This window comes from Homo sapiens, chromosome 6, assembly GCF_000001405.40.
Source record: "Homo sapiens chromosome 6, GRCh38.p14 Primary Assembly".
Lineage (NCBI taxonomy): Eukaryota > Metazoa > Chordata > Mammalia > Primates > Hominidae > Homo > Homo sapiens.
Window position 1 is genome coordinate 40,574,893 of NC_000006.12, and position 20,407 is coordinate 40,595,299.

General features: G+C 49.5%; 1 protein-coding gene across 1 annotated transcript in view, besides 2 other annotated features; it reads right to left on the bottom strand.

The window, feature by feature from the left end:
• LRFN2 (leucine rich repeat and fibronectin type III domain containing 2) overlaps nucleotides 1-12,472 on the bottom strand; it is a 195,774-nt gene extending 183,302 nt beyond the window's left edge. The window contains exon 1 of the mRNA NM_020737.3: nucleotides 12,049-12,472. The gene's annotated coding sequence lies outside the window, so the exon portion shown is untranslated. The remainder of the gene's footprint in view (nucleotides 1-12,048) is intronic.
• Nucleotides 12,645-12,744: a silencer, noted in NCBI's record as "silent region_17169". NCBI's record gives its function as "represses an Ori minimal core promoter by ATAC-STARR-seq in GM12878 lymphoblastoid cells {active_cell/tissue: GM12878}" and the evidence as "EXISTENCE:reporter gene assay evidence [ECO:0000049][PMID:35858748]".
• Nucleotides 12,835-12,904: a silencer, noted in NCBI's record as "silent region_17170". NCBI's record gives its function as "represses an Ori minimal core promoter by ATAC-STARR-seq in GM12878 lymphoblastoid cells {active_cell/tissue: GM12878}" and the evidence as "EXISTENCE:reporter gene assay evidence [ECO:0000049][PMID:35858748]".

Sequence of the window (20,407 nt, forward strand, 5' to 3'; positions counted from 1 at the left end):
ATAAGGGGCATGCAGACAGCACAGGGGATCCCTGCTTCTCCCAAAACACACTTCGCCATGAGTGTGACCTGGGAGACAGGGAGATAAGTGTCTGGGCCATGGCAAGTAGCATATTGTGGCCTGACTCCAGCCATGGCAATGGGTCCTTAGGATGATGGAGGAAGTGAGGATGTGAGGATCTGGAGAGGAAGGACTCCTCAGGATGGTCTACACAAGACCCAGTCACCCCTCCCAACTCCTGCTCAGGAACCAGGCATCTCAGACCGCAGTGGGCAGCACGCAGCAGGGCCTCCTCACTGCTGTGCACTAGTGAGGGCGGGCTGGAACTGGCAGAGTGCGCAGAACCCCCAGCTCTTCCCCTGCTGCCCACTGGCTCACTGTGCTCCTGGGAGCTAAGCCCAGCTCCGAGGTGCTCCTGGGCTGCAAGCAGCTTTGCCTCTTAAACAAAGGGCAAGGGAACACACAAAGGCAGTCCTGAGAGAGACCCCATGGAGGTCAGGATGTCACCCTCCTTCCATGGACACAGGAAAGAAGGAGGGCAGATGGCAACCACACCACCCAGCCAGGGCTCCCACCAGCCTTACTCTGCGCCTGCCCTTCTGCCCTTGCTTGGGGGCCAAAATGGTGGATATTGGGGCCCTAACCATCTGTGGATATTGGGGTAAAGGAACTTGGCCCCTTGCCCTGGGGACATTTCCTGCTGTTGCAAGGTCCCCAGGCCTTTCCCCTGGGTGCAGTGAAAACATAAAGAAACAGAAGTCATGTGAGGACAAGAATGCCTCTTGTAGTACCATGAAGCCATCCCACCCCATCCCCACTCTCCCACCCCCAATCCAACTCAGGGATCACAGCACGTGACAGCATGCATCCTGGTTGAGAGAGGGGGCTCAGGAGCTGGCTGCTGGGGTTTGAATCCAGCTAATCCAAAGTTGAATTTTACTGTAATAGCTGTGTGACTTTGGGCAAGCTACTAACCCACTCTGAATCTTCATTCCTTCACCTGTAAAATGAAGTAATAATACCTACTGCACAGAATGAATGTGGGCATAAAATAAGTACATAAAGCTTATTTTAGAATAGCACAGGGCTCACAGCAAGCATTCAATACCCAGTGGCCATTATTATTATGTTATAATATAATATAATGCAAGCATGACCTGGTCATTCCATTAGCCTTCCTGAGCTACAGTTTCCTCGCGTTTAAATGGAGACAAGTCTGCTTGCCCTACTTCCTCACTGTCATGGGGTCCAAAGAAGACAGGTATGGCTGCAGGTAGAGCTTTAAAATGTATAAAGTGCTGTATGCATGGAAGGGATTAATATAATGCATCCTCCAATAAATACAAAGCAGCATAAGCCTAATTCCATAGGGTAACATGATACAATGTAAGATAATACTCTGCATTAAAAACTGAATTGGAGAGAGACAAGACAGATGGAGAGAGAGACAGAGAGGCAGAGAAAGGCCGAGCAGAACAGGGACAGAGAGTGAGGGCTGAACTGAAAGAGCAGCGAATCAATGTTGTACTGTAATTTAAAAACCAATATACAGTAAATATCAGCCTGGCATTGCAGCGCAGCAGCATGGCAGGGCAGCCCAGCATGAGATAACTCATGCCTCAAGCTGGGCCAGCCACCACTGGGTCCCACCGGCCTTCCCTGTAACTCATGATCCATTGCTCTCTCTCCGGAGCTGCCTGGATTTTATCCTGGAGCCGCAGGTACCTGCAGTGCCTCCCAATTATGCACCAAATTTACATGGCCTGAGATTTACGGAACAGGCTGATCACAGAGCCCTAGAAGGAGCTCAGGGCCTTGACTTCTCTCTCCACCCCAAGAGAGAGACACTGAGCTGGGGCTTTGGGTCCTGGCCAGCCTGGCTCTAAGCAGACAGTGGCTGGGAGGCCTGGGCTTCAGTCGGGTCCCACCCCCAGCTCTCCTGTGGTTCTTGCTGCTGTCTCATTCTGGTCTTCTTCACCTTCCTGACTCCTCTTCCCATAGTCCCACACCAACCCTCCATCATCACCTCATGTCCCACCCTAGATACTGACCCATGCATGATCCGTTCCTGCACCCTGACACCCCTGAATTCCTAAAACCCCACCCCCACAAGCATTCCCTCCTCCAGTCTGGTTCTCCCTACTGGAGGTCCTCATTCCCTCTTCTGGGTCCTGGTCCAAGGCCCATTTTCTTTTCTTTTCTTTTCTTTTCCTTTCTTTTCTTTTTAGATATGGAGTCTCGCTGTCTCACCCAGGCTGGAGTGCAGTGGCATGATCTCAGCTCACTGCAACTTCCACCTCCTGGGTTCAAGCGATTCTCCTGCCTCAGCCTCCCAAGTAGCCGGGACTACAGGCACGCGCGGCCATGTCCAGCTAATTTTTCGTATTTTAGTAGAGACGGAGTTTCACCATGTTGCCCAGGCTGGTCTCGAACTCCTGAGCTCAGGCAATCTGCCTGCCTTGGCCTCCCAAAGTGCTGGGATTACAGGCATGAGCCACTGCACCAAGCCCCCAAGGCCCATTTTCTTGCCCCAAATACTTTCCAAGCTCTTTCAAACCAAAAGATCCAGGAGGGTACATGTGCACATTGTGCAGGTTAGTTACATACGTATACATGTGCCATGCTGGTGCGCTGCACCCACTAACTCGTCATCTAGCATTAGGTATATCTCCCAATGCTATCCCTCTCCCCTCCCCCCACCCCACCACAGTCCCCGGAGTGTGATATTCCCCTTCCTGTGTCCATGTGATCTCATTGTTCAATTCCCACCTATGAGTGAGAATATGCGGTGTTTGGTTTTTTGTTCTTGCGATAGTTTACTGAGAATGATGATTTCCAATTTCAACAATGTGCACATGTACCCTAAAACTTAAAGTATAATAAAAAAAAAAGGAAAAAATAAATAAATAAATAAATAAAAATTAAAAAAAATAAAAATAAATAAAAATAAAAGATCCAGGAGGGTCCCTTTCCCACCACTAGGAGCAGCCTTGGGACAAAGGTGTTGGGGTGGGTAGGAATATGGCCCAGGAGGATGTCTCTGGCTTTCTCCCCACACACCAGGCCAGTCTGAATCAGAAGGTTCCCAATCCAGGTTCCCCGTCCCTTCTGTGCCCCCTGAGTGCTCCCAGCACAGCCCCGCCCTCACATAAGCATTCAACAACCCTATAAAGTGGATGCTACTCTTATCCCTATCCCCATCCCAAGGCATTCATGACAGTTTCAAAAGGCTTCAATACTCATGTCCTGTGGCCTAACTCCCATCCTCTGGGGTGCTGTGTAGAGGGCAGCCTGCTTCTCCCCATGCCATTTCATGTGGACCCCGTCTAGTTATGCAAGCCTGGAATGAGATCTTCCTTCCCCACCGTGGTTTATTTTCCCAGCAGTATGATCCCAACATGCATAAGGGCCAGGTGGGAAGGCCAGTCCTGAACTTATCAGCTATCATCATCCAAAACCCTCTCCTCCAAGATTCTTGTGACCCCTCGCCTGAATGCAGTGTGGCTGTAAGGTACAATGAAAACCCCATCAGACCAGAAACCACTTCATAACATCTGTGCCTCAGTTCCCCTTTATGCAAAGTGGTTGTAATCATAATGTCTATGCTGACTGCCTGGTAGGATTGTTGCAAGGGACAAATGAGATCATGTGGAGATTCCCCAAATTAATGTCTAACTTAAGAGATGGTTGTTAGAAAGGAGTATCAGTTAAGAGGGTCCTCAGTGGTATTTTCCTAAGTATGGTCCTCTCCATGCTTAGAAAAATACCACTATTTCTACTACTACCACTAATAGCTCACACGTATATATTGTTCAATATGTGCCAGGCACTGTTCCAAGTACCTTATGTATAGTAGTTCATTTAATTTTCCTAACAACCCTGTGAGGTGGGTACTATTATTATCCTCATTTTGCAGATGAGAAAACTGAGGCACAGAAAGAATAACCCACTCAAGTTCACACAACCAGGAAAACAGAACACAATGCAAATCCTACAAATGCAGGCACAGGTACACACATTTCTCCCTGTGAGAAAGATGCTCCATCCACGAATTTTGGTGCCTAAATGTTCCCTAATAATGTGCCTTGTGTATCTGCTTTGTCCTCCTCCTTAGACATAAACTTCCCAAGGACAAGGACTGGTCTTTGCTCATCAGATGAAGACTTCCCAAGCATCAGGGATCTGCTTTGCCCATTTGCAACCACTCTGCGATTGCAAGCACAATCCCTGCCAGCATCCTCATTCACAGATTCTTGCCCCTCAATAGCCTGGGGAACCACCCTCTCCTCCAGGGCAATAGCCCTTATTGTCATGTGCTTAGAAGGTGTGACTCTGGACAGAGAGTCCAGGATTTAATGTCTATTCCAGGGGCTCTAGCCTCAGCTCCCCTTCTTCCCAGCTCAGCCCCTGTGACATAAGTCCTCAGGCAAGGAGGAAGATTAATGGTTCCTTTCAGGCCAGCTGTCTCTAAATTGGGACGATGACCCCAAATCTCTTCATCCTATCAGTTTCTATTTGGGTAAGATGGTAAGATGTCAGCTTAGTGGTAGAGCAGGGTGGGAAAGCAGCTTGAGAGCCTGTTTCTTAAGCGGACTTCATTACCATCACCATATAATCACCATCATCATTATCATCATCATCACCACCATCAGCTTTACATCAAGCAGTTAATCATGTGTGACCTTGACTGACTCCTAAGCAACACACACGAACACACACAAACACACACACACACACACACACACGAGAATGCAGGTGAAGGGCTGCACTAGAAATCAGCCAGAACTTGGAACCGCCACCCCCAACATAATCAAGTCCTGGGGTCCACAAACAGGGCTGGAAAAAGTGCAAGAGAAGAAGTCAAATGATCAGTGAGACTGAGGGCTGCGTGCACACAGGGATTGGAGAGGTAATTCACCTTTGCAGTGTCAGGCTCCCTGGGTGGCACGTAGTAGGCATTCAATTAATGCTTGCTGAATTAAACTAAACAGAGGAAGACTGCTAGCCATCAAGTCGTGAAAGGGATGGGTGAAGATGGATGGGATTGCTTACCACATCTTAAAGGAACAGGGCCTTAAAGTTTGAAGGAAGTGAAGGTAGCACTTCAGAGCAAGCTAAAGGAATGGCAGGCAGAAAAGCACAGAAGCTATAGCCTCAAGAGGTGAGGTGGGCTGAGACTACAAAAAAGGATACATTGATGATGAGCGTAGCTTGATCCCATCATGAGAAATGGCAATGAGAAGGCTTATTTACCTCGACCCTAAGGACAGAGGCAGTCCACCCTTCTCCCACACCCTATTTTGGTGAAAACAAGTCAGAACTGAAACTGGAATGCCCATGGGCTGCCCCAGGGTGGCATTTCTCACTTGCTGGAGTTTAGTGTGAATAAAAGCTTCTAGCAGACTGAGAGCCAGGAAGGAAGACACGATCACCAAGAAGCGGCTGGAGTATGCACATGTCCTGGCTGAGAAGGATAGAGGATCTGGTCACCCTTTGTCTGTGTGTGAATCTCCCTGGTCCTTAGTTTCCCATCTTTAACCAGGGACAAAATATACCCTTCCTGTCTTCCAGGGTTGTTCTACAGAGCAGAAATTGCTACGGCAGCTCCGAAGTGATAGGTGAATCTCTGGACCGGATCCAGAAGTCTTGGCACTCATCCTGACCCTGCTACCTGCAAATCCAAGCCAGTTTCCTCATCCATATACAAAAGAAGACATGGTTTTGTCCTCCTGAATGAGGTCAGAGGGCTATAGGAATGACAGAAGGCCATGTATTGACATGCTCTCTAAAGTAGACAGTGAGCTGGAAGGGTTGAATGGCACCCGCCCATGTCTTTGAGGGAGAAGCCAGTGCAGTGGAAAAAGGGAGTGTGTGCATGTATGTGTGAATATGTGGGAGTGTTGCATTTGTAAGAGAAGGTATATGAACTCATGAACGTGTGTACATGAATGTGTGCATGTATGAATGTACAAGTGTGAGTATTTGGGAGTGTGTATATGTATGTGAACGTATGTGTTAGTGTGAGCATAAATGTATGTGTGTATAAGTATATGTGTGGGCATGCAAGTGTGGATGTGTGTGAGGTATGTGGACATGTGTACACTGGTGGGGGTGTGTGTGTATGAATGTGTGTGTATGTGCACATGTATGTGGTGGAGTGGGGAGGAAAGAGACACCCTCATTCAGACGGCAGCCCTGGGATCCTGGTCATTCCAAACGAAACCCAGTTACAGTGTTTGGTCATAGACTAGTCAGGAGCACGAAGCAAAGAAAAGCCTCAGGTCAGTGCTGTCTGGCAGAAGAGGATGGAAAGGAGGATGGAGGACCCCAGCCAAGTAACTTCCAGGGCCTAGATGGCTCCGCAGAGATGTCTGCTCTGAGGCTGGATCATGGACTCGTAAATCAAAGGATCAACCTCCTGAACTGAAAAGGCCTTAGGAGAGCACACAGGCTCTAAACCACAGGCGAGGACAGGAAGACAGAGGGGACGGCCAAAGTCACACAGCAAGTTACGGGCAGAGCTAAAAGGAGAGCTCATTCTAGGTTCCGCTGCACCCCAGCAAGCATTCTCTGACCAGCCATCAGTGCCTTGTGCTATAGGAGGACCTCTAACCTCTCACCTCCATGACCCCAGATCCCCATCCATCCTCCCTCCCTTCTTCCCCAGGGGGGCATTTCTAGGTATTATAGTGACTTCATTACAGGAAAGGTTGAATCAAGTAATCAATTCTACCCATCCAGAAATCTTCAATACCTTTTTAGAATGACAAGGCCTTATCTTACAGTCATTGTTAGGCATTTTTAGGAGGTTCCAGGAGCTCAGAAAGTCAGAAATGCCTTTGCCTTCACTGCCATCATCCATTGCTCTCTCACTAGGTACTGAGACCCTGGTATGGCTCATTCCCCAAACTTCTCCAAGTCCTGCAGGCTGAGTGGCCACATTTCATATGTTTTGGGGACCAGAGAGAGTCATGTAATATCAAGGCCTACTTTACAATTATTCTGAAGTAGGAACCTCCACAGACCCTCAGTATTAGTTGGGGGACCCCCTGGCTTCTTTGACTAAAGCCGCCTTAACAGGAGAATGAAAAAGAATGGGGTAGCTGGGAACAGAGTACTACTTTTGGAGAAAAGGAATAGGAAGTGAGTCCCTGGGAAGAAGAAATGAGAGGGCCAAATAGACTTTGCATCCCCAGGAAGTTTATTAGAGATCTGGGTTAAGGCAAGAGGGAGCCTGCTCCTCTGTGTTGTCCTACACCAAAATGGGGTAGAGGAAGGGATGTGTTGAGGGGAGAGGACCCAGGCAGGAAACATGGAAGGAAGAGGGGTTCAGAGATGCTCAGCTTTCTGCTTCTTTAGGTTGTTTCTGGGCACGTGAACTGTAGCTTAGCTCCTGCTGGTGGGTGAATTAATATAGGACATGCCAATAATAAATGCAGTGAAATCTAAAGAGCCCAACTTATTTTGCAATCTCGTATGTTTTTGGGGCTGCCCTGTTAATATTGGAAGGTTGCCAGGGAGGCCCCGGCTCTCCTGCAGACAATCCCAAGCAGGTTGATAAATTACAAGAACACAGTTTTGTTCTTTAATCCAGCTTGGCACAGTTTAACACCTATATCTTGTCTCTATAGTTCCAGTCTGTTCCTCAGGTTGGTCTGGTCTCCATTAGGCTTGGCCCTTGGAGACATTCAAAAAAGCAGGCCCAGACCTGTTCAAATCAAAGATGCCCTGATTTTCCGTTGCATGGAAGCCTTGGGTCTTCTCTTCAGGGCCCCCATACCTTCTATACAACCCTCAGTTACAACGTAAGGAAATCACTCAGAAAAAAAAAAAAAAGACTGATAAATCATGACATGGGTAGACTGTGTCCTTACTAAAACTTGCTTGGTGATTTGGACTCAATAGTTGAACAAGCTGAGCGGCCCAGAACATAGCTATTTTTGACCCTCTGTTCAAAGTTTAGCCTTGTGTTCTTGGGCAGTCAACCCAACACTGTCCCGACCTCCCATCTTGATAAAATGGAGATCCCTACTCAGGTGATGCTGATGCTGGTCCACAGACCACACTTGGGGTAGCAAGTTGCGAGTGGATCTGTCTCCCTCACTATCTTCTGGATTCCCCGTCTCACTAATCCACCTCTTCTAACTAACACTTACCTCTGTTAATTTTAAGACAATGCATCCTCAGTGGGGACAATATCGCCCCCAAGGGGGCAAAAATGTGTGCTTGGTGGGGAGGCAAAAAAAGAGAACTTAATCTTTTGATATAAAAAGTACAGATATACATATGTATATAGTGTATATATAGACATATATATACACTATATACATATATAGTATATATACACATATAGTATATCTGTGGTATTAAAATGTATGGGAGGGTGTGATTAGGAGAAACCCTCCAAAAATGCTTCTACCAAAAATGCTGCCCATGTGCCCCTTCCTAGCTTCCTGTTACCAGTCCCACCCAATTATGTGAACCACAACTGCCCTGTTTCTGCAGGTTCTTAACACCCCTTTTCTCAGAAGGCACAGTGTCCACCTGCCTGGCCTGTAATCACTGGTTAACTGCAGTCCCACATAAAACTGACCCGTGAAAGTCCACCTTTAGTGCCCTGATACCTGAGTATAATTATATTTGACATTTTAGTGACAGTCTTAAAGAGAAAGGGTCACAAATATAGCTGTGAGTGCTAAAGGGCTTGTCCAGTTTACAAAGTGCAGTCACACATGCTGCTGTGCCCTTCCAACAACCCTGGGGGATGACCATTAGCATCCTGTCTCATCAGTAAGAAAACCAGGCCCCTCTCTCAAATTGGATGTATCCCTCCCGCTACTACACAGATAGGACCCAGTTCAATCACAACCCCTGCCCAGGCCCCACAGAGCTGTATCCATTCACTTTACCTGGGCCTCACAACATTCCTCTGAGGTCACCCTTGGGGGAGTGGGCAACAGAGTCAAAAAGAGAAGACTGGGTGCTGGCGGCGGTTGGGGGGGTATTTTACATTCAAACCTCAGACAGGAAAGGGTGGCTGGTGATACTTGTAAAATGCAGAGCCCCACTTCCTGAGCAAATGTGCATGGCCATAAAAATCCAAAACAAACAAGAGAAAGGGAGGGAAGCAGGTGCCAGGGCCCCAGAGGTGAAATTTGCTCCTCAACCATCAATTCTCAAAGTTTTCTGGAGGGCTTTCTGGAGCCTTTTAACAATCAGCTTATGTCTGATGGCATCAAACCCTCCTGGCAGCTCCCTGGACAGGGGGAAGTTGGCTGTACTATCCTCCATGTCTCTGAAGAACTCTCTCTCCCTTCCAACCCTCCCTGTTTCCACTGAAGACTCTCCCAGATCTGAAAAGCGGTTTGGGGACTGCCAGGAAAACATCAGGTCATAATACATCTATTGGGTACATGCTATTATTTTATTTTACCAGGTCAAAACACAAAGACTCACATTGTTAACCAAGATATGGCAGAGCCAGAATTTGAACCCAGGCCACCCAAGTTGAGGTTTCATTCCATTATATGACAACTCTATCCCTTCAATAAGTTGGACCCTAAAACTCCACCCCTACCCAAAGGAAAATCACAAAATACTCAAATTGTTGTTGCTCTTGTTCAGAGTCCAATTCCACTTGGCCATCCCAGGTTGTTTATTGCTATATGTCTCTGCTTCCAGTCTAGCAGCCTCCCCCATCAGACTGTGAACTCCCTAGATGCTAATATCTACCTTAGGAAAGGGGAGTTTCTGAAAACAATTAATTCCAATTTCACTTCTCCACTGTCCCTGGGTAGACAGACCCCACGCCAGGAGCTTATAAGCCTCTATACATCCACCCTGCAAAAAAGGAGAGCAGAACCTGCTCAACCCCACAGGCTGAAGAGGCTTGGCAAACTGGCACTTGGAGGCCAGAATCCCTGTTTTTTTTTTTTCCTTTGGAGCTGAAGCAAAGATAAGAAGAGCAATTCCTCCTTCAGTCAAAGAAGGACTCAGTTGGCCAGAAGGCTGCCTGGTTTCCCCGGTGGCCCCACCCACTCTGACTGCATTTTCTTCCCATCTATCTTGCTTCTCCTCCTCAGCCTCACCTCCTGGAAGCTCCCAGCTCACCCTCTCTCAGGCCAGACTCCCCAGCTTCTCACGTTTCTGGGCCTGAGCAAAGAACTGGCACTTCACAGAAGAAGGAGCCCTGAACCCCAGCCTCCAGCCCACAGCAGGCAGGCACCCAGTTCTTCTAGACAGGAGATGGAACTGGGAGCCAACCTTCCAGAGGCTGAAACAGAAATGCCAAGTTTGCTGTTTGCATCCCCAGGATGAGGGCAGGAAGATAAATAATTACATTCCTGGTCAGGAATTAGACCAGAAACTCTAAATTGAGGGCTGGGCAGGGGGCCTGAGCAGAAGCATGTGAGGAGGCCAGAGGGAGATGCAACTCTGCACTCCCAGCCAGAGTCAGAAGGGAAAGATGACATTCCAGCATCAGCAGAAGGGCCCAGGCAGCTGGCATGGTCGGCGGAGGATGACGGCTCCAAGTGCAGGCCTTTTGGAGCTTCTGAATCCTCCCTACAGGACTCTGACCCCCTTCAGCCTCTGATGTACCCCACAAGGAAATGACACTACCCTCAGGGCTCTGCTGTGTGTGGCTATATAAAGCTCCTGCCAGAGGGCAGCGACCAGACCAGGGCACAACCCCAAGACCTAGTTCCCTTGCTCCCCACCTTGAGTTCCAAATCGGCCCCCACACAAGAATAACAGCCCACATAGAACCTCTAGCCCTGGCCCCTGGGAACTTCACAGCCCAGGGAATGGCAGTTTCCTCCCTAGCTTTGCTCCTCCCCAGCAGCAGGGGGTCAAATTCCTGAAGCTTCCCCCTCCCCCAGTACTAGAAGGCCAATCAGGCCATGGAGGCCACAGCTGCCACCTCCCTGAAACATACACATGCGTACACACACACACGCGTACACACACACACACACACACACACTCCATTGTGGCCAGGGGAGGGGGTCATCATCTATAGCCATGCCTGTAACTCCAACTCAAGAGTGCAGGCTCTGACATGTTCCCTGTCCCTGCAGGTGTCTGTCCGTCTGCAGCTGTCTGCTGTCGCCGGGTGCATTTGGCAACAGTCTGGCTCAGTCCCTCTGCGGTCTCCACTCAGGCTCTCTTCTCCCTCCTGCTCTGGTTTTCAGAGGCTCTATCTCCCTAGAACTCTCTGTCTCTGTCCTTTGTACCGGGCTGATGGGAAGACGAGTAGGACACCTCCCTCAGAAGGTCTGTGCAAAGTAAGGCACTGTCCACCTCGGAACGGTCTACTGCTCTCCCTCCTCCCTGCCCAGGCCAACCTTAGAACCAGGGCAGGGCTGGGTGGGAGACAGAGACCTAGGAACCCAGGCATGGCTAATGCCACTTTCCATATTGCTTCATCATGCCATTCTGATGCCCCAAGCTGCACACACACACAATCCCCCTGATCTGCTTTCTGCCTGAGGCCAGCATAGGGTCCCTGAACCTGCCCTACCTGCCCCCACAAACTGCAACCATGCCTTCCTTCCTCCCATCCGCTCTGCATCAACCCTTCCGCACTTGGCTTTACCCCACCCCACCCAGTCCACAGAGCTCAGGGAGTCCCCGGCGCCCCCACCTAGCCCCCAGCAATGGCTCTAGCCAGGCCTTGCATGTGCGGAGATGCAACAGAGTGGTCTGGCGGCAAAGTTCTCCTGCTGTTTTCAACGGTTCCATCCACCCGTGGCTCCCCGTCTCTCCATCCGGCTCTCCAGTCTCACATGGACCCGGCTCTCCCCGCTCCCCGCCAGAGTTTCACCCCCACTGTAGGAAATAAAGACTAAAGAAAGGAAAGGAAATCTCTCGCGATAAGGATGGGCGAAAAGAGAAGGGGGTGTCCGCATGAGCACCTAGGATGCGGGGAGTCTTCAAGAGAAAAAGAAAGGGATGCAAAGTTCCCGGTTCCCTCGGGTGCGTTCAGCCCCGCGCCGAGCTCCCGCGGACACCCGGGATCGCAAAGACGCAGCGCCGGCGACCACTCACCTGGGCGAGGCAGCATCTACCCCCGGCTGGGTGGCACCGAGGCCGGCTCCGCGGGGCGCCCGGGCTCCCCGGCTCGGCCACGCATCCTTCCCCGCCCGAGACAGACTCGAGCTAAACCCTCCGGCGGCTCCGGCGAATGCAGGCAGATGGTGGCCTCGGACGTCCACGCGGGGAAAGCCCTGAGCCGCTTATTCAGTTATATCCATGGCATTTAGCAAGAAGAAGGGGGGAAAAGCACAACTTGTTCTCTTCTCTTCCAGATTAAAGAAAAATAATAATAATAATCCCTCCCTAGGAGGATGCCGGTAGGATTTTCCGGATCGAAGAACCCCAGGCATTCCCAGGAACCTCGGGCATCTTGGAATGTGGGGTGTCTTCAAGTTCAGACGAGCCTGCCGGGTTGTGTATGTGTGAGTGTATGTGTGTCTCAGCGAGAGGGAGCCAGGCACTCACACCCACACGCACACACAAACACACTCCCCCGTACTCCCCGCATGCACACTGCCCCCCACGCGCGCGCGCATACGCGCGTACCCGGTTTCTCTCTCCGCTCCACACACACACACACACACACACGCACACACACACACACACGGATCACACGCTCCAATCTGGGAGGGAGTCGGGCGGGCTGCGGAGACAGCGCAGGGCCAGCAGTGGAGAAAACCCAGCGGCCAGAGGCGCCCAGGAACCCGGCGGCCGTGCGCACCGTCCCCGCCGAGCTCTCCGGCGCGGCAGCCCCCAGTGGCGAACCGCGGAGCTGCAGGAGCCGAAGGCAGCCTCTGCGCCCGCTGCCCTGCCCGCTGCCGAGCGCACCCGCTTCCGAGACGACCAACACCGCCGCGGAAACCAGAGGGATTCACGGTCCTGGCAGGGGTGGCGCGGGGACGCACGGTGGGGCGGGAGTGGGCTGGGGCCGCAGTCGCGGAGGGAGGTGGGCAGGCCGCGAGCCCCGGAACCGGGAGGGCGGTCTCCGCGGTCCAGCGGCACGGGCAGCCCCTGCGGAAGGCGAGCCGGGCGGCCAGGGCTGCACCTCTGCAGCTGGCGACGGCGCTGCCACCTCACGTGCCTAGCGCGCCCTGCAGCCGTCAGCCCGCCGCCTGCTGGAGGAAAACCCGACCGCGCCGGCCCTAGGCTGGGAGTGGGGGCTGGGGCGATCGCGCCCACCCAGTCCTGGGGCCCAGTTCAGATTCTCGAATCCTGGTAAGGGACCTATGAATAACGAGCGCCCCGTGCACGCACACACACGCACTTTGACTTTTCATGATTATTACAAGAATCAGTGAAGGGTGCAGTGGCGCCAAGTGTTTGCACAGCATCTTTACAACTCTTCACTTGTTTGATCTTCTCAGCAACCCTCATTTGATGTATAAGGAAACTGAGGCCCAAAAGAGTAAAGTGACTTGTCCAAGGCATGTGGTAGGTAGCGGAGACCCTACTCAAAGCAGACTGTGAGCTCACAGTCAGAACACCCAGGTCTGGCCAAGGTCTCGTCTTTGGTTATCCTCTCGGTTCACTATAAACAACTAGTTACCAGAAAGGTAGGACCGTCCTCTGCCTTACTGGACTCCCCAAGAGGCATTTCCTTCCTTCTAAAGGAAATGAAATTTTGAGATTCCTGTTGGTACTCCAGCTGGTAAATCCAGGGGCAGGAAGAATGTCAATGTTGCAGTCCTTCTCTTCTCTCCTGGTGGCTAACACATCCCGTGCACCTGTCCCGGTTACCCACAGGGAGGCACATGTTGCATGTGGATGTGTCTCTGCAGCCCAGGATTGGCTCGGCTGGATACATCTGTAACATACGACCCTGTGTCCTCTCTACACACATGCATAACTGCAGAAGCCGAGGCAGCTGGTCCTCATGTGTGCACCCTCCACATGTGCACCCCGGGAAACTGCCAAACTGGCATGCTGCATATCCTTGAAGACAAGCCTCTCCCTGCAGGAATTCTGGAAAGCCTGGTGGGGGAGGGGCATGGCCAAGATGAAACTCAAGGTATATGGGGTGGGCCTTGGAGAGAAGGGATCTAACTCAGGAGCAGGGAGTGAGGGATAGAGGTAGGGAAGAGTCATGAGAAGGAAAGTAATGAGGAAGGAAGAGGTGAGTAAAAGGAGGTGTGGAGTAGAAACTGGGGAGGGCAAGTAGGGAAGAGGAAGGGGAAGGGAAGAAGGAGGGGAGAACAGCAGGGAAACTGCCTTACTCTTTGCTTACCTGAGGGCTTGCCTACTATTGGCGGGAGCTCCCAGGAAGAAAGGCTTAGGAAGAACCACAGCCTGGGCTCAAGCCTTTGAATTCTCCCAAGGGTTGGGGGCAGTGGGCTAGGTTATCTCCCCTAACCCTCAGTCACCCATGAGACAACCAGAACGGAGTGGCAGGGATAGGACCAAGCTGGCACCAGAGTAGAAATGGAGCTGCTTTTAGAAACCAGAAAAGCATTAGAATGATGTGAATGAGGGATATAGGAAGGATGGATCAATCTCTGCTCTAGAGTGAACCCAATACTCCATCAAGAAGTTTTCTCAAGTCAGAAACATGGATATTCCATGAAGAGCCAAGACCTGGGTCATTGGTAATTCTGAGAATTACTGGTTTATTTTTCTAATTACATTTGCCCCAACATAACCTGAGTACTGTGCTGGGGCACAGGTGGCCTGGATGCTCACCATGGCTTTGTATTAACAAGCAATGTGACAAGTCCCTTTTCCTCAAAGGGTTTGGACTGTGCATTTGCTAAGAGCCTTTCCAGCTCTGGGAACCCCCAAGCAACCTTGACAGATGGAGCAGGATGGGGACCACATACATCTTGAGAGGCCAAGAGAACACCAATCTACAGTCACCGTTTACCATGAAAATCCCCAGAAGATAATCCACACTTGGATCATGAAAAGGTGAAAGATGGTGGATTTCTTGGCTCCTCGAACAAGCCCACAAGGACTGAGTTAGGGTCACTAACGTGGCACCTGGCTTCCTGTACTGGTTACTTACCTCAGAGTTGAGCCAGGGCTTCCCAAAGAGGTGATCCCATCATTCCAGAAGGGGTTGGGGAGTGAAAGCCATTTTAATAATGGGCATTTTGATTCTTCTTCGTGTTCATTCTGCTAAATAACCCTGTGATGAACATCTTTGTACCTAAGTCTTTCCCCACATTCTTGTTTTTGTGCTTAAGCTAGACTCCCTGAAGTAGAATCACTGGGCTGGAGGGTATGAACATTTTTAAGGTTCTTTGTACATACTTTTTTTTGTTTCAGTTTTAGAGCCAAGGCACTGAAGTGCAGGGCAGATAAATGATTTCCCAGAGAGCTCCCAGCAGGTGCTTAGGGATATTTTCACACACCCTTTCATGTCTCGATGTGGTAGAGAATGACTGTGCCTTGTGCTTTAGGCTGCACATCAAGGCAGCACTCCATCCTTGAATATAACTTCAATACCCCCAGTAAGAAGAAAGTTTGGGCTCCCTGCCACTCCCAATCAGGACTCGCCTTCCCCTGCAGGCCATGCCTGCTCTCCTTGACACCCCTAACCAGCCTTACCCTGTTGTCTGTATCTCTTGGTTTGTTCACTGGACTATAAACCCCAGACCCCTTGGCACACTTCTGGGCACATGGTTGGCTCCCAACCCTCACTGGCTAAATGGAATCACAGTGTCTGATCAGAAGAGTTCCCAGGAGGGTTTGAGGTAGAGAGGCACTCAGCCTGAAGAGAAGGCTGATTTGGCCTAGGCCTTTATAACCAATGAAAAGACGCCTTTGCAATGGATGATGGTGAGTCTCTCTTCTCTGTATTCACTGAGTATGAAAAGGAGAGGAGACTGGCTTTTTGCAGTGAAGTATTCTGGTTTGATGACAGGACAGAGCCCGGTGAAGCTATGGAATCCCAGGGTAGGGACCATTGAACCTGCTTCACTAAAGAAGGGGTGCAGTCTGTAATCCCAGGGTGTGCTAGATACACTTCTTAGAGTTTCCCTTGGCTCACTGTGGCCTGAAGAGTGACTTTGTGGGCTGGGGAATAAGAAAGATCCTGGACAGTTTCATAAGGTCTTGGGATCTCCCTCCACTGAGTCTATTCCATGGACTGGATGCTGGGAGCCACTCCTGAATTAGCACCTCGTTCACTGAGCTTCCCCCAGGACCAACAGCCAGCCCAACCCCAGTTTATCCACAGGCCTCAGCCTTAGCCTCACAGAACTTGGACAAATGCATCCTCAGGAGCTGAGGGCCCAGCACCAGGGTGCCCTATCTGGAGATGAAGGGTGACGTCTTTTATTTCTGCAGTGTCTTCTACCTCTCCTCCCTTCCCAAATGCTGGATTAAGAAGAAGCCAAAATAAATTCTTATTAGTATGCATATGTATTCCCAAATTCCTTAACAGAATGACTAACACCACCTACAGCCATTAGCTCTGGTTTGTTTTCTAAATCCAGTTTACTTTTCATCATTCAGCCCTCTGTTTACCTCTTCCCCTCCCCTAGGCCCAAGGGACTCCCTTCACAGACTCACCCTTTTGCCCAAATACCAGGTCTGGGAGTAGGTTCCTGATGCATCAAAGGATCAGACAATACAGAGAAATCATAATCAATCAAAATAGAGGTGCTTACTGAGTATTTTTTGTTTGTTTGTTTGTTTGTTTGAGATGGAGTCTCTTTCTGTTGCCTAGGCTGGAGTACAGTGGCATGATCTCGGCTCAGTGCAACCTCTGCCACCCAGGTTCAAGCAATTCTCCTGCCTCAGCCTCCGGGGTAGCTGAGATTATGGGCATCCGCCACCAAGTCTGGCTAATTTTTGTATTTTTAGTAGAGATGGGGTTTCACCATGTTGGCCAGGCTGGTCTCGAACTCCTGACCTCAAATGACCCACCCGCCTCAGCTTCCCAAAGTGCTGGGATTACAGGCATAAGCCACTGTGCCCGGGCTTTGCTGAATATCATTTATGTACCTCCTAGCATTTTGTTAAATACTGTACAGGAGAAGAGAAAGAAGGAGAAGGCAGAGTTTCCTCCTGGAGAGAAAAGACACACCAATGCTGGCACCATGACTTACAGTCTATAAAGAGCATTCCCAAATATTACCTCCCTTTTTCATCACAACAATCTCATGAAATAGATCATTATCCCCATTTTACAAACAAAGACACTGAGTCCCAGATAGGTTAAACCTGACGGCTCCAGGCATTTAGAGCTATTGACTGATGGCACTGTATTTCAAACCAAATCTTTTGACTCCACATCCCAGGCTCCTTCCTGTGAACAAGACACCCTCTCTAATGCTAGCCTTGATGCCACTAAATGGTGAATTACCTGGTGCAGCCTGAAGTGCAGTAGACATGTGGCAAAGAGAAGGACAAGGTGTCCAGGGCCACACTGACAGACACACAGAGCTAGGATATTCTAGAATTCAGGACAGTGAGGTAGAAAGAGCACCAGAAGGGAAGATAGAGGAGCAGATTCTGGTTCTTTAGTGTGACCTGGGGCAACTTTTCCTTTCTCTGGGCCTCATTTTCTCCATCTCTAAAATGAATCTGGGATAAATGGTCTTTGGGATTTAATGAAAAGTAATAAAGAAAGCCACTCAATGACGAACTGAAGACAGCAGATGCCACTGACTTCCCTGGCTTTCTACCTCCTGCCAGGGAAATTCCTAAACCTTAAGGGTGGTATTGAAGTGGAGAACACTATGGGTTGTGGCAAGTGCTCAGGTGCATCTGGGAAGCATCACAGCCCTTAGTGCCCCAGGGCTTCACTGGGCCACCCTGTCCCCCAGCTCAATTTCCTCTCTTGCCATAAGGCATTTAACAGTAAGAGTGCCAGGACTGTAGGCCAGCCACTCCTCTCTGTCCTGGATGAGGATTATTGTATTTAATTCTCAAAAAACTCTAGCAGGTAGAGTTATTATTCCCATTTTACAGATCTGGAACCTAAGACACAGAGAGGCTCAGTAACTTGCTAGGCCAGTGAGTTGGCAGGTGGCAAGGCCACAATTCTAATCTTGACACTCTAACTTTAGAGCGTGTTACAGAACTGACTGGTTGAGAAGTAAACTTGTTAAAGGAGAAAGAATAAAAGGAAAACCACTATCTCAGTCTCCAAACTGGACAGGGCAAATCCCCCTCTTTTCATACCAGCTCTCACTCCCTTCCTTTACCTCTCCCTGACTCCCTTTATGTATTGTTGAAACATATAGTCATAGTGTATGGTTTTTTTTATAATCCAGTCAACTGCAGAAGCACAGCTATTGTCATTTATGTCCCTGCCTTAACATCCTTCACCCAAGAGATTTATCGCAGCAGGAATTGACTGACTACAGAATTCTTTCCATTCCTTAATCAAGTCCTTGGCTTTCCTCTCAAAGGGATGTGGAGAATGGAGCAGAAACCAACTCATGTCTGCAAAACAGTAATTCCATTTAATCTAATAAAACTGCCTTTGTGGGTTCCATGTGAAAAGGACAGGGCAGGATTAAGGGAAAGTTAAGCTGTGGCCCCATCCTCCACTCTGGAAGAGCTGATCAGCTGTGTGTTCAAAAGGCTGTCATATAAGAGAATAAGGTAAAAACAGAAAGTTTGAGGAAATTCTGTATTTCAAAAAGAGGAAGATCACCTCAGAGCAGAGAAGACAAGACTTCAAGGAGTCTTGAAGGTGGATGACACTTGAAGGATGGTTAGCATTTTGGTAGGTAAAGCGATGAGAAAAACGTATAGTCCAGGCAAAGGCAAGGTGGCAGGACAGTAAGGCAGCTTTGGGGGCATGAGGAGTTTTCTGGCATGACCAAATCCCAGGGCAGAAGAAGGCCTAGAGGTCAGGAGTGTGGGCCCTGATACAGTCTCTGGGTTTAAATTCAAGTCCCCCACCTCTAAGGGCAGTTACTTAAGGCCAACTACAGAACCTCTCTCTGCCTCCGTTACTTCCTCAGTAAAGCAAAAATAACAGCGACTATGTCACAGGGTGGATGAGAGGATTAAATGGCGTGAATGACTTTAGAATATTGAGTGGCTCATAGTAAATTTTCAAGAAGTGTTAGTTGTTGTTTTACCGTGATTCTTACTAAGAACATAGTGGGAAGTAAGAGTGCAGAGTTGGTTGACACTACCTTGAAGACAAAGGCAATGTGTCTAGATTCCTTTCTGCAAGTAAATGGGCAACACTGCAGGGTTTTGAACAGATCTATGCAGGGGTTCCATGGGTGCACTCCTAGAAGAAAGAACTGAAGAAAAGGAAAACAGTTATAAGTTAATTGCAAGAGCCCAGGTAAAGGGGAAAAACAGGGTCATCTCCAGGGCTATCGTGCTAACAATAGAAAGAGGTGAGTGTCAGAAGTAGAATGGACTAGAGCCTAGAGGTGATCAGGTCTGGGGAAGAAGAGAGTGTGGTCAAAGCCACTTTATAAAATAAAGCCCACTGGGCTGGATGAATGGTTGGTATCCTTTGGAAAGACTTGGAAGATGAGGGAAAGGAGGGGGAGATGAGAGAAACTAGGGGAAGAGGTAGAGAATAATGAGTTCCACATCAGATGTGTGGAGCTAGAGAGCTCAGGAATACGCAGATCCTCTTGCCCCGAGCATAATTCAACAAATGGGTCTGTAACAAATGGTCAGGGGTAGAATGGAGGCAAAGGTCATATAAATGGAGAAAATCCACAGGGAGAAAATGTAGGGTGAGAGGGAGGTGGGGATTAGGAACCTAAACTTACTCAGCTTACCTCCATACATGGTCCTGTGCTAACTCTTTTACTCATATGATCTGTGATCCTTCCTGCAAGCAGAAATTGGTTAGCCCATTTTGTGGATAAGGAGACTGTGGCTCAACAAGGTTACAGTCACTCTGCCAGTTAGGGTAGCCAGGTAAGGAAACAGAGAATCTCACAGAGGAATCAAGGAAGAAAGGGGCCTTGGAGCTTTACTTCACAAATATTCCATGCCAAGGCTCACATAGAAAATGGTATTTATATGGCATATGGAGGATAAATAGAGAGGCTGCTTTTCACCAAAGATGATTTGCCCTCCAAACTCCCCTGACTCCACGTGGCTGGTCCTAGTACTAAAGGAATGATTTCAGCACAGCAATATGCAGTGGTGATATTAACAATATCTAACAATTGGTACAACCCAGGTACCAACCAGCAAGAGCAGAAGCCCCGTGCCACACCAAACATCATTCTGTCTCTGCTACATAATGAGGAGGTCCATCTCGGGGTCCTGGAACAAGGGCTTGGGTAGCCAGGTGGGGGAAAGGGACACGTAAGGTGCTCGGGCAGTGAGACAGAAGTATTTCTGTATTTTAATCACCCATATGTCTGAATGGCTCATCACAGCCCAGCCTGGGACCAGTCTGCAGCACACTCGTGAGCCATACACACCAGCTGGACCC